Source organism: Homo sapiens, chromosome 3 (genome assembly GCF_000001405.40).
Source record: "Homo sapiens chromosome 3, GRCh38.p14 Primary Assembly".
NCBI classification, from domain to species: Eukaryota; Metazoa; Chordata; class Mammalia; order Primates; family Hominidae; genus Homo; species Homo sapiens.
In genome coordinates this window covers 41,088,952-41,102,350 of record NC_000003.12, presented here as the reverse complement: position 1 = coordinate 41,102,350, position 13,399 = coordinate 41,088,952, and the positions used below count along the sequence as shown (strand labels likewise).

Here is a 13,399-nt window from a genome sequence, read left to right as displayed (position 1 = left end):
CGTAGCCTACTGACTTAAGAATCTTCTCCATATGTTAATAGGATATGACTCAAGAGCCTCAGGGAAAGCTGATAGGAATGGGCGTGAGAGATAAAGATGAGTGAGGTGTGGCTGTCTGCTGGCTGCTCACAGCAGAGTAAGGGAGGCAGGTATGGTAACCAACCATTACATCATGCAGTGGGTGTTTAAACAAGGCTGAACACTGCACTTTGGAGCCCAGAGGGAAGGAGCCCAGAGGAAACACTGCACTTTGGAGTCCAGAGGAAAGATGAGTAATGTATCCTTTCCTAAAGGAAAGGATAAGTAAAGAGGGTGGAAGGCAAGAGAAGTGTAGCAAGCCTTGCAAAATAAGTATTAGGGGTAGGGAAAGGGAAGGCTCACACCTTCCCTGTGCAGCGTGGGCACAGGTGCGGAGGTCAGCAATGGCGTGGCGTATTGGTGTTTCTGCCTCATATTTAGGAAAGAACAGGGATGACTGTGCTCTGGAAGCTTTCAATCTTGAGGGCTGAGGCTGGAGAGGAAGGTAGCCTTGTGTGCTAGGTGGAGGGGTCAGGGCTTTATCCTGTAGTAACCTACAGGAGTATTGGGGTATTGTGGAAGTTTTTGAACAGGAAGTTTTGTGATTAGCTTTGTGTTTTAGGACTAGGACATGGTCTTCTTCCTTCCTTATCAGGCTGTAGGTATAAATGAAGTTATGTTGAGAGTGAAGTTGGTGTTTTGCTCTTGTAATTTTATATGCCCCTTCCATCTGCTGAACTGCAAGACACCAGCCTCCATTCAACTATGGTATCTTAGGGAGGCCCTAAAGTGGGGGTAGTGCTGCCAGTAATTCTGGGTCTCTTGCTGCCTGGTCACTCAGCAGCTCTCCAGACTTTGGAAGTTTGCTTCCCTGCCCCCTATAGGTTCTCTGCCCTCATTCAGACCACCTGTGCTCATCTGTTTTTTGCAGGTAGGGAAGGTGCTCCTTTGTGTTCTGTCCTCGTCTCTCATCTTTATCTCTCACACCCATTTCTATTTGCTTTCCTTTTAGCTCTTGAGTCAAATCCTATTAACATATGGAAAGGATTCCTAAGTCAGTAGGTTAGACAATGCTGTGTCTAAATCAACAAGAAAAGTCTAAAAAATCTGCAAGCCCATGGCAGAGTTACTTAGGCCTAGAAGTATCACAAGATTTAATCAAACTTGTTTTTTAGTTTGAGAACGATGCCTTTCTTCCCAGTGCACAGATCTAGATTTGAGGCTCGTTTTTAAGGAAACATTTGTTGATTTGGCCTATTGTTGAAAGCTTTTTACCTCCCCTGAGTTAGGTCATCAGTGTGAATTGATGGTTATATTAAAGTAAATTCCCAGCAAGTCAGAAATATTTTAGAAAGCAAACTGAATTTTGGAAACATTTCTATTGTGAATGTCGTGCCTCTCTTCTTTAGTGTCAAGAATTCTGTGGAGGAGAGCGGGGACATAATGGAGAGGGATGGGTTCTGGAATCAAACTGCAGTAGTTCAAATCTGGATTCTGCCACTTACCATGTGGCCTTAGGCAGGTTCCTTAGCTTTGTTCTGTCTCAGTTTCCTCATCTATAAAATGAGGATAATAAGAGTATCTACTACATAGAATTGCTGTAAAACTAAGGGATGAGAACAGTTTATCAGGCTGTGGGTATAAATGAAGGCTCAGTTAAGTGTGATGGTGATAATTCCGAGGTGCCGCTGCTTTCTGTGTCAGCTGACAGGAAGAAAAGGAAGAGAGTGGTAAAATTGCAGCCATGTAGAAAGGGATTAAATTAGTAGAACTTTCAGATGGGTTGAGCTGTGGGACACAGCTTTGCCTCCCAAATGGGCAGAGCTGCAAAAAGTTGGACACTATTTTTCTGTGGATAAGATTCAGGCTAGGACTGACAACTATTTTTATGGGGGACTTTAAATGCAGTTTTGTCTAGAATCAGATCTGACCTGGACAAGTATTGTCTCATTGAGGTGATATGGCTCTCATCATAGGGTGTGGAGGAGTTTGGAAAAGTGAGCTATTAAAAAAGACATGTTGTGGAAGGAAGAAAGCATTCCCCTCTTGCTCTTGCACTCTGGTTGTTCTGAGAGTAAAGTACTGGCAGGCTCAGAAACCAATTCAGTAGTGGCTAAAAGCCCCAAGCTTCTGGCAGCAGAAGCTCCAGGGGCAGAAGATTCCTTAGCTGCTAACCAAGGAAGGTTGGGTCTTTCCTGCCCTGGCCTTGGAGCCTGGTGCTGCTGCTCAGCATTTAGCCTGGAAGGCAGGAAGTGTCTTCATGAATTTCATTGTCTCAAGTTATTCATGTAGTGTGACCACTGGAACCTTAAGAGCACCCAAGCCCAATGTCCTTGTGATTTTCTGTCCCAATCTGGGTATGTAGGATGGATCAAGTGTTCACCATGGCCAAGCTGCCTGATGCTCTGTGAGTAGAAGGCCTGTGTCTCCATGTTCTTCAGCAATCTCAGTGATGGAGGACTTTCTGGGACATTAGTAGTTGACCAGTCACCAAGAGAAGGATGTCTTCCCTTCATTCCTCAGTCTTCCCCTCCATTTTTGTGTAAAAATGATTTTCTGCTATGAAAGGCTTAACATTAAAACTTTAGTAATTAAATAAAGTCAATTTTAGAAAAAAATCCCCTTCTCACCCACACAATTCTTTTTGCACATTCTCCATTAGCTTGGCCATGTCGTGAATATAGTTCTAAAGATTTGCAACCTATAGTCTACAATTCGTAGTCTGGATTTTCACTCGACAGCATCACTGGCATTGCTATGTTTTTTATAATTATTTTTTAGGGATTCATGACGTGTATTCCATTGAGTTACTATGCCATCATTTTTTCAATCGTTCCCTACTGATGCACATTTGGATTATTTTCTATTTTGGGCTGTGATGGTGACCACTGTATGAATGTTTGTGTTTATAGTCAATTTCTTCTGTTAAATTCTTCCTTTGGCTTACTGGTTGACAGTATGAACATTTTTATTCTTCTTAACATATTACCTTCCAAAGGGATCAAACCAAATGTACAATGTTACCAGCTATGTATGATGGTACCATTTCCTTCTCAACTTTTCTCACATTGGCCATTGCCATCAAAATGTGTATTATTAACTTTTTAGCAGAAACATAGTACTCTACCTCTGCTTCCATTGTGTTTCTTGAATTATTAGTATCTCCCATCTGTCTGACTCTTTAGGGCAGAAAGACCTACCAATTCACTGTCATCTGCTGGTTTTAACTTTCTAGGACATCCTCACAAACACCAACTTAATCCTGAATATATTTTCTTTTTTTTTTTCTTTTTGAGACAGGATCTTGCTCTGTCACCCAGGCTGGAGTGCAGTGGTACGATCATGGCTCACTGGAGCCTTGACCTCCTGGGCTCAAGCAATTTTCTTGCCTCAGCTCTGCCTGCCCCCTCTGCAGCCCTCCTCCCCAATAACTGGGACTACATGCCCAGCTAATTTTTTTTTTTAGAGGCCAGGTTTCGCCATGTTGCCCACATTGGTCTCAAACTCCTGGCCTCAAACAATCTGCCTGCCTTGGCCTCCGAAAGTGTTGAGATTACAGGCATGAGCCACTGCATCCTGCTTATTTTCATTGATTCTTAAACCCAACTAGAATCTCCCTGTCTTCCCCTGGACCCTGCCAGATTTTATTTTCTTCCAGCTTCTTTCAGTGTAGCACATTTTAAATCTAGTCAACTTGTCCAGTTGTTTCAATTAAGGAATTATTGTTCCACGCTCTCTAGACAGCATTGCTTTCTCTCCCACTGGTAGGCACTGATTTAGACAATTAGTATAAGTGGTGCAGAAACTTTTCCCATACATTTGATTATAATGTGTTTTCTCTTGTGGGAGTTTTCTATGTTCTTTGCCATTTCATCCATTCATTTCAACAAATGTTACTGAATGACTAAGATATTCTGAATGGTAGAGATATGACAGTGAAGATACAGGCTCTGCCTTGTCCAGCTCTCATTGTACAGGAAGACACACACTATTAGCAAGCAAGTAAGTGAAGTATAAGCCAGGCAGTGATAGGTGCTAAGGAGACCAACACTAACATGGGATAAAGGGACCGAGAATGCTGGAGAGGTGTGGGAAATGATGTGCTGCAGTTGGCTTGTGTCAGCTCTTGAAAATTGTATGCCTCTCTCCCCGGCTTCATGTTCAATGACCTTGGTAGCTTGAAATTGGCCACAGTGGGAGTATTTAGATCCCACACAAAAATGCTACAATTCAGGGACAGCTGGTTCTTAAATATTTGCCAGCATACAACTGGATATGGGATAGCTATTTTGTGTGGGTCAGTCAGGGAAAATCTGAGCAAGAAGGTGACACTGGGGAGAGACCTGGAGGAAGTGAGGGAGGGAACCATCTGGGAGTCTGGGCAAGGGCAGAGGGAAAAGCTGGTGCGAGGTCCTGAGGCAGGATGTGGTGACATGTTTTAGAACCAGCAAGGAGGCCACTGAAGCAGATTTGGAGAGAGTAGGATGCAGGAAAAAATGGGTAAGAGGTGAGCTGGGAGGCAAGGAGGGAGGGGACTGGTAGGTGATATGATCAGATTAGGCCTTGTAGGTCATTGTTAAGTATTCTGGCTTTTCCTCCTGATTTGAGATGTAAGCCATTGAAGAATTTTGAGTTGACAAGTAAAAGGTTCTGATTTATGTTTTAAAGGGATCACTCTGGCTGCTGTGTTGAGAATAGAACTGTAGGAAGGCAGAATTTCAATCATTAGAAAGCTATTAAAATAATCCAGAAGAGAATTGATGGTGGCTTGGATTGGTGGTGGATGTGGTGAGAAATGTATTCTGAACATAGTCAAGGAAGAACCCTCAGTATTTACTGATGGATCAGATAGGCTGTGTGTCAGAGAGAAGACAAGGTTGATGCCTTTTTTTGAAGGCCTTTATATATATACACACACACACACATACGTTTAGAGATAGGTCTCGCTCTGTCACTCAGGCTGGAGTGCAGTGGCACAATCAGAACTCACTGCAGCGTCAAACTCCTGGGCTCAAGTGATTCTCCAACCTCACCCTCCCAAAGTTCCGGGATTACAGGCATGAGCCACCATGCGCAGCCCTTTATTAACTTTGAAGAAAGTGTTTTTAGTTCAGGAAAATTTGTGGCATGGTGGCAGTGTTTGGCTTATACTTCATTCTTCTACAGAAATCTTATTGTGAGCAAAGACTCTCTTTTCACCCTGTTTGACTCTGAGCAGTTTGGTTTGAAGAAGCTAACCAAATGCAGCTGTGGGGAAAGTGCTAGCTGTCTGCGAAACCCCAGTCTCTCCCTTTCCCATGCATAGTAGAGAGTCTGCGCCAGGTATGAGGCAGCTAGATGCATCTTTGGGACCAAGCTTGAGCCAAGGGGAGGTGAGTGGAAGTGTCCTTTCCAGGTGATTGTCACATGAAAGGAAAGCCATTTTTCTGGAATTCCTCTTTCCTTACCCCATAAGCTCAAACACAGGTGCTAGATGTGCCTGTGACTTGGCTTTGACCATACAGCCGAGGACTGTGGAGCAGTAAGGTGGAGGGAACTGAGGTTCTGGGATGACCACGTGAAGCAAAGCTGCTCACCCACTCAGGACTGTTACATCAGAGAGAAAATATAAGCTTTTTAAAGCCAAAGCTTCTTGGGAGTCTTTTTATTACCGTGGCTTAACCTTTCCTCTAACTAATTCAAAAGCCAATTCCAAAACAAACCAACCAATCAGCAGAAAATCAGAATGTTGAAAGTGACATATTCCAACTGATGACAAAAGCCTGCAGGATCAGAAACTTTTGGTGAGTATGAAATGGCAGGAACCCAAGGGAAAAGGGGCATCCAGTAGCTGGAAGCACCCACAGAAGGCCATGATTTTAGGTGGGAATGGTGGAGACAGATTTATACTGGCAAAAGTGAGTAGGAAGACACTGGGTGAAGGAGAGAAAGAATACTGGAGTTTTAAGGCAGGAATATTTTCCCAGCATGAGGTCAGTACGTACTGGGAAGTAGGGGCTGAGGACAAAGTGTGGGCCTATAGCAGAAGTTGATCTACTGTGGAGAAGGCAAAATGTAAGAAGAGAAGACACTCTTGCAGTCACTGAGGAGGTGGGCAGGAACGACCCAGGAGATCTTTTGAAAAATGTGTGGTCTATTGGCCATGCACTAATTTTGATCTATGCCAAGGGAGGGGAAAAAGACACCTAACAAACTTCCCCATTAAAGTTAATGGGGGATCCCCTATAAAGTCTATGGGCAGAATATGGCATGATGAATCTGTATGATTATTTCATGAAGGTTCCGTAAGATAAATAAGGCTCCTAAGAGACGTGTTTATTGGTGAACAATTTATATCGGTGTACATACCATCAGCTGGAATGTAATTGCTGAGGATAAGGTGGGAAACAATTACCAAGTCTGACTCCAGCTGGCGCTACACCCGTGGGAATGCAGTAAATAATTGCTGAATCACAATGAATATAAATTGGCTCACTGGGCGAACACTTCCAGAGAGCCAACACATACCTCCTTATTGTCTTGAAGAAGCTGATATTGTCTGGCACTTGGGGAAAGCAGTAAGATTTCCCTTGAAGACTACTTTGAACGCTAGGAGAATGACTTTGGCAGGAGGAAAGGAACCATGCCCGATTCTTAGGACCCTGTTGAGGCCTCTGTGTGAGCCCAAGTTTCAGCTGGAGGGAGTGGGCTTCCACCTTCTCTGTAGCCCTCAGAGCAAGTCTGCAGCGGGAAGAGCTCTGCCTGTTTCCCTTCTCTCTGCATCTCCCACACTTTATCACTCTGCAGGGACATTCCTATAGTTCTGCTCCTTACCTCCCAAATATTCCTTAGTCTCTCATAATTTGGCCTTTACCCAATTACACTACAAAGGCTGGTCCTGCTATTGCTGCGAAGTATGGTGGTTAATAGACACATGGGCTATGAAGGGGACCTGCTTGAGTTCAAATCCAGGTCATGTCCCATATCATCTCTGTGATGGTGGGCCTCATGTCATTTGTGAAATGAAGATAATATTTGTTTGTGTCTATTCTCCCTAGAGAAATAGTCTGTGACTTCCATGAGGACAGAAACAGATCTAGTTTTTTCCTTATATTCTTAAATACTAGAATACTGATAGGCATATTCTATATGTGATAGGTGAAAGGTATTCGTAAATGCTTTTTTAAAAATAATGAGTGCGTAGAGAAATAGACTGGGATCCAGCTGAGACAAGGTCCCCCAAAGGTAAGGCAATGGGCTCTCTCACCCTAATTGAGTGTGTGTATAGGAGGGCTATCTTTTTGGGCTACAGTTTCCAGGAGAATTGAAGAAGACTATTAGGTACAATATGCAGGAAATGGGGTGGAGATGGGGTGGGGATTGGGTGTCAGCCTCCACCTGGTTAAGTTTCTCCAGGACAATCTGAATTGAATAGGAAGGGGCAGTAGTTAGGACCATCTTGGAAAAGCATGAAGTGGTTACCAGTTACACTTATGTCAAGCCAATAAATAACAGTTATTTATAAAAAGGACCACCATTATTCCCCTCTGTAAGTATGCCTCTTTGCAATATGACTTTGCAGTTCCTCCCAGCAGGAGGTGAAGTCTATTCCCCTACTCCTTGGCCTTAAGACTCGCTTTAGCCAATAGGCAGTGGCAAAAGTGTCAATGTCAATTCTTGAGTCTAAGCCTCAAGGAGCCTTTGTGAACTTTTCTTCAAAACCTGTCCAGTCATGTGAGCAAACCCAGGCTGGCCTGCTAGATGATGAGAGACGAAGTAAACCAGAGCCCAGTCAGCCCAGCTGTCCAGGGCAGGCCTGAGAAATGTGAGAGAGCACAGTGACCATCTGCAAAGTCAACCGACAACTGACCTGCAGGCACACGAGGGAGCCTAGCCAAGAGCAGAGGGACTATCCAGCTGAGCCCAGCCCAGATTGCCAATACACAGAATCATGAACTGAGTGAATGATGGTGGGTTTTGATTGCTTAGTTTTGAGGTTGTTTGTTACACAGCAATAGATAAGTAATATGTGATTTCACAAAGTTGGGTGGGATCTGAGACTCAGAGAAAGTAATGACTTCCAGCTGGGCGCGGTGGCTCACGCTGGCAATCCCAGCACTTTGGGAGGCCAAGGTGGGTGAGGATCACTTGAGGTCAGGAGTTTGAGACCAACCTGGCCAACATGGTGAAACCCCGTCTCTACTAAAAATATAAAATTAACTGGGTGTTGTGGTGCACACCTGTAATCCCAGCTACTCTGGAGGCTGAGGCAGGAGAATTGCTTGAACTCACAAGGCAGAGGTTGCAGTGAGCCGAGATCATGCCACTGCACTCCAGCCTGGGCAACAAGAGCAAAACTCCGTTTTAAAAAAAAAGAAAAAAGAAAGTGATCACTTTCTCCACATTCAATTCTCACTACCGTTGCTCTTTAATTTTATCAGACATTATCGAGGAAATTTCTGGCTGATTTCTGGGTCAGTGGCACAGCAGATCAATTGGATGGTCAGTCCACGTCCTGTCTCCAAAGGCCCAGTTCCAGAGCCCCTTGTGTCTTTGGACATTTTCCTCAAGTAGCGCTAGCTGCAATGGTTACATTGCCCATGAAGGACCTACCTCAGCTCTGTCTGCCGCTCCTTGAAGGTGTGCAATGGTGGGTGAACACAGGAAGTTAAAGGCTGTGGCACTGACAAGTCTAGACTTGAAACCTGACACTGACTAGCTGTGAGACTTAACCTCCCTGAGTCTCTGTTTCTTCATCAGTAAAATGGGGACAGTAATGCTTGCCTCATAGGGTTATTGTTAGGATTAAATGAGTTAGTACATGGAAGGGGCCCAGCTCATTATAGGATTGTTATGAGAGTGGGGGAAATCATGGAGGTTGAGGGGCTTAGAAAAGTCATCTCCTCCCACGTAAATGGGAAAAGAGTCCCAGTGACCCCTTGTCATCTACAGGCCCAAGTTAAGATTATCTGAGAGCCATTAGAGGAGGCCTAAGGCAAGTGGCTGCCCCTTTGCTTCAGAAATCATGAGCTTGGCAGTGGGTCCTGCCTTTAATGCTGATGTCCCGGTCAAGACAGGACTGCACTCTTGGCAAATCTTCTCCACTCTTTGTGTTGGCGACATAGTGTTTAGTGAATTTCTTCCTGTTTTCGAGCCCAGAAATGATTGCCTTGGTGGCCTGGGCACGTGTTTTCCTCACAGTATAACATGCGAGTGGAGAATGGTTTGCTCCTTTGCAACCAGTTCCCTCCCATTCCCCACCAGTATGCACCCCACCCTTCAACATTGCTCTAATTCCTGTGGGTCAACAGGCTGAGCCCAGGGGTGTGGATTTATGCCCATCAGAAGTCTGATTGAGGGTTAGGAAAAATCATTTGGGATGTGATGACAATCACAGGCACAGACCCTAGAGTTGTGGCTGCTGTTTCTTTTCATAGACTATTCCCAGGGGGCCTTCATCATAAGTAGTTGCCAATAGCTGCTAAAAATGTTCATATTTGTCCATGGCTATGGAAAACTTTAAAGGGGAAAATACCTATACTTCAGGTCATCTACTCTCTTTGTCACTCTAAATTTCATTCTATATTCTTCCAGAATTTTGGTGTACATACACATATGTACATACATGTATGGACTGACATACATACATATAGGAATCTTCTCCCTCCTTATATATGTATGAAGAGAGAATGCATACACACACACACACACACACACACACGCATATAATGGGATTACGCTGTAGCTTTTCGTTTTTACTTAATATAACATAGACATAATTTCTGATCAGTAAATGTCTATTAGAAGTCCACAATCTGGAGGCCAAAAGCCAAATTTAGTGCATATGGATGGAAATTGTTTGGCATTGTTTTAAAGACTTAAATTTAAACTCCTTAAGAAGGGGCATAGATCTTCCAATTCCTGACTGGCCCTGAAGGCATTTGAAGTTGTCATCCTGCGTTTTATATCATTGTTTACAATTATTCTTATCCCACCATATCAGTATTTTTCAGTAGGGAAATTTTGGCCATTTTGAGCCAGATAATTCTCTGTTGTGTGGGATTATTTTGTACATTGCAGGACATTTAGCATCCCTGATGCCCACCAGCTCAATGCCAGCAGTGTCCTCAGGCCTATGTGATAACCAAATCTGACCCCATGCATGTCCACACTGGGGCATCTGTTCTTGTCTTGGGCTAATGATGAAATTATCACAGGCTCTCCTCCATAAATACGTTTAAGTATGATGACCTTAAGTCCTAGGATACCTGGGACAGTCCTGTGGTTCAGGTGTATTTATTAATACCCCTTAGTCATTTAATTAATATTAATTAATTAATAGCCGTTAGTGACCCTTGTCACTCTCAGAAGTATCCCTATTTGGATGATAAACCAGTGGGTCGCCCTGAGTATAAGGCCCTGCTTCAGAAATGGTTAGATTTGTCAGGTTCTGCCCAGGAAAGACTAAATGTGCCATTGGTGCTAAGCATGTCTTCCCAGAGTTAATCTATATGTCATGTGGTAAATGCCTTCCACTGAGGATGCTATGATCAGATCCTACTTCCAACTCCAGAGCTGAACATCGGGGTAGTCAGTGACACAGGCACATTTTTTAAAAGGTGGGCAGGAATTGGCTTAAGGCCAGAGCTAGGCTGAAGAAAGAGGATGTCTGATGACCCCTTGGATTCAAGAAGACCTGTAGCATATCATGTATGGTCTAGAGAGGCCTGCTTAGGCTCCATGCTTTACAGATTAAGAAACTGAGGACCAGAGAAAGGAAGGGAAATAGAACCTCAGGGTATGAAAGGCTTAAGAGTCTTCTTGCCCTCCCCAACTTGGAAGCTTTCATTTCCACTGAGCATATTCACAGGTGGAGGGTCAGCCTCCATCAGAACTGCGAGCCATGGGTCATAGATAGCGCACAAGCCACAGGCAGAGGCAGAACCCAGGGATCCCCAGTTTTGGATCACAGCACTTCACTTTGTTCTATTCTGTATCTCCTTAGATTTCCTCCCAAGATACTTAAACCTCCACTCTTCCATATACATCTAAAAGATGAAACCGATTTAGAAGTACCAGATGTATCTGAGAGAGGATTCCTAGAGAATATAGGAGCTGCACACTCAACAGTCGTGGGCTGGTTTGAGAAGTGGATTCCATTGTATTTGACCCTGGGTACTTTTTCGTTATCTCCCTAATACTTCATTCACTCTAAGCCTGGATGAACTTTTATCAGGAATGCCTGAGTGGCAGCTGGTTATCTGGGATGTGGAAGAGGATTCACCTTGAACTTTGTAACTTCAGAAGAGTCGGGGTCTCAGCATGAAAGGTGGCTTGGCTTGACCTGGCTGCAGACCTCGCTTCTGCATGATGCTGTTTCCAGATGGACCTTTAAGTGTTCCGAGCAGGCCCCATGCAGGAAATATGTCCTGCATTGAATGTCAAGCTTCTTGCTATTATTTATTCTTACTTTTGGCTTTTTATGGGATTGGTGCTCCTTTAAAGAGACCTGTTAGCATTCCTTGTGAGATGCTCTGTTTATTAACAAATGATTTGCTCTGTGTTGGCTATAATGAATCACTGGCATTACAACAATCTGAAAGACCACAGAGTTCTACAAGTGGTACCTTTTCTTCCATCAAGTTTCTTGAACATCCTTTCTGAACCTGCTCATCTAATCTCACCTTGGATTCAAGTTCTCCACTAGGAGTAGTGTATTGCTCCTGGATTTTAAAAATTAAAATGATTCTGAACAGACAGGGCAGGAAATACTTTGGGAATCAATGCAAGTTAATATACAATATTAATCTAAATAATACTATTATTTTGGGGGCACTATGTGCTAGATCTGTGTTAAGCACTTCCATGAACTACCTCATTAAATCCTCATAACTCCATTGTGATATTATTAATTCCCTCATTTTACAGAATGCTAACTTGAGGTTCAGAGAAGTTGAATAGCTTGCTCAACAGTACACAGCTACTAAATTATAAGATTCAAATTTAGCTCAGTCTGATGCAGGGCCTGATCTTAACTATAGCATTATACCAGCTCAGAGGACTCAGAGGGGAGAATACTCCATTACCCACTCTCTCTGAGGCGTATAAGCTCCCAGTGCCTCTGCTTACCAGGGATACAGTGTGGGGTCACATAGAGAGCCCTGGCCCTAAAGTCAGAAGATCTGAATTTGAGTGGCAACACCTGCCCTTGCCTTTATTAACTTTATTGTGAAGGTTGAATGCTACAATGTAAATGACTAAGGTCTTTACATACAATTGTAGGTTGTGATGGCATGTATAAAAGATGAGTCTTCTGTGTATAGTTATACCTGTTTCTACCTGTATGTATATAGCCCAATTATATCCAATGATGATAGGCTTGTATCAGGTTGCTCACAGTTGGAAAAGCCATTCTTGGGACTAGGATTTCAAACTGGAAGGGAACTAAGAAGTCATCTGTACATTACAAGTGAGGAAAATGAGGCTTGGTAAGAGATTTCTTTGTACTTTTCCCAGGACTAGCAGAATGACATTGAGATTTGGAGACCAATGACTCAGGAGTAGGCAGGGACTGAAAGAGCCATAACATTTACATGCAATATTGAAAAGCCTGGGTCATCTAGTGGGATGAACCCAGTCTAGTTGGAAGAAGAGCAGCCTGAAGCCAGAGAGATGGTTAAGATTGCTGTGGAGAGTAGGAAGAGAAGGTTCCAAGTGGATGGACAGTGCTGCCTGTAAGGGAGGGTATTCTGAAAGCTTCACCACGTGAGACAACCTGATGCTGTTTCTTCCTCCCATGTCTTTAGGTCCCATGTGCAATATGCAGTGTTCATGGCTTCCTACCTGGAGAAAGTTAAGTTTTATTGTGTTCAAGGAGGTTGAGAGTATATATTTGATGTCCCAAGATTGAGGAAGTGGTCCAGCAGGAAGACTGCATTGAGTTACCAACTTGGGTGAAAAAGATCAAGGTGAAGATTTTATTCCACAAAGTATAAGGGGCCAGTAGGTCTTTACAGAAGTAAGTAACTTGAGCAAAATTCCATACTAATTCCACCCATGATGCCTTCAGACTTCACATCTACCAATTCTTTTTTCAGAGGTCCAGTTGACCCCACACTCATATTTTCTAGTCTTCCTGAAAATGCCTGGTTCTGATCCAAACTAGATGAGAGGGTACAGACAAATAATCCAAGCCCACAGCTGACAAAACAACCCACAGCACACGTCCTGTGTCCAGATGGGGACTGAAGGTCAACTGTGTCATCTGTCTTTATGAAAGACAGCATGTTATTATACTGATTACAGTGTACTGGGCTTTGCTGGGGACTAAAAATAGATAAATGTGGCTTCTAGAGACAGGCACTAACATTCCTTTGGCTTCCTTTACTATGTGCTTTTTTAG

General features: G+C 43.5%; 2 annotated features.

The window, feature by feature from the left end:
* Positions 5,583–6,782: an enhancer, noted in NCBI's record as "MED14-independent group 3 enhancer chr3:41137060-41138259 (GRCh37/hg19 assembly coordinates)". NCBI's record gives its function as "activates an origin of replication core promoter dependent on BRD2, BRD4, P300/CBP and CDK7 cofactors, and independent of MED14, by STARR-seq in HCT116 cells {active_cell/tissue: HCT116}" and the evidence as "EXISTENCE:reporter gene assay evidence [ECO:0000049][PMID:35650434]".
* Positions 8,738–8,787: an enhancer, noted in NCBI's record as "active region_19722". NCBI's record gives its function as "activates an Ori minimal core promoter by ATAC-STARR-seq in GM12878 lymphoblastoid cells {active_cell/tissue: GM12878}" and the evidence as "EXISTENCE:reporter gene assay evidence [ECO:0000049][PMID:35858748]".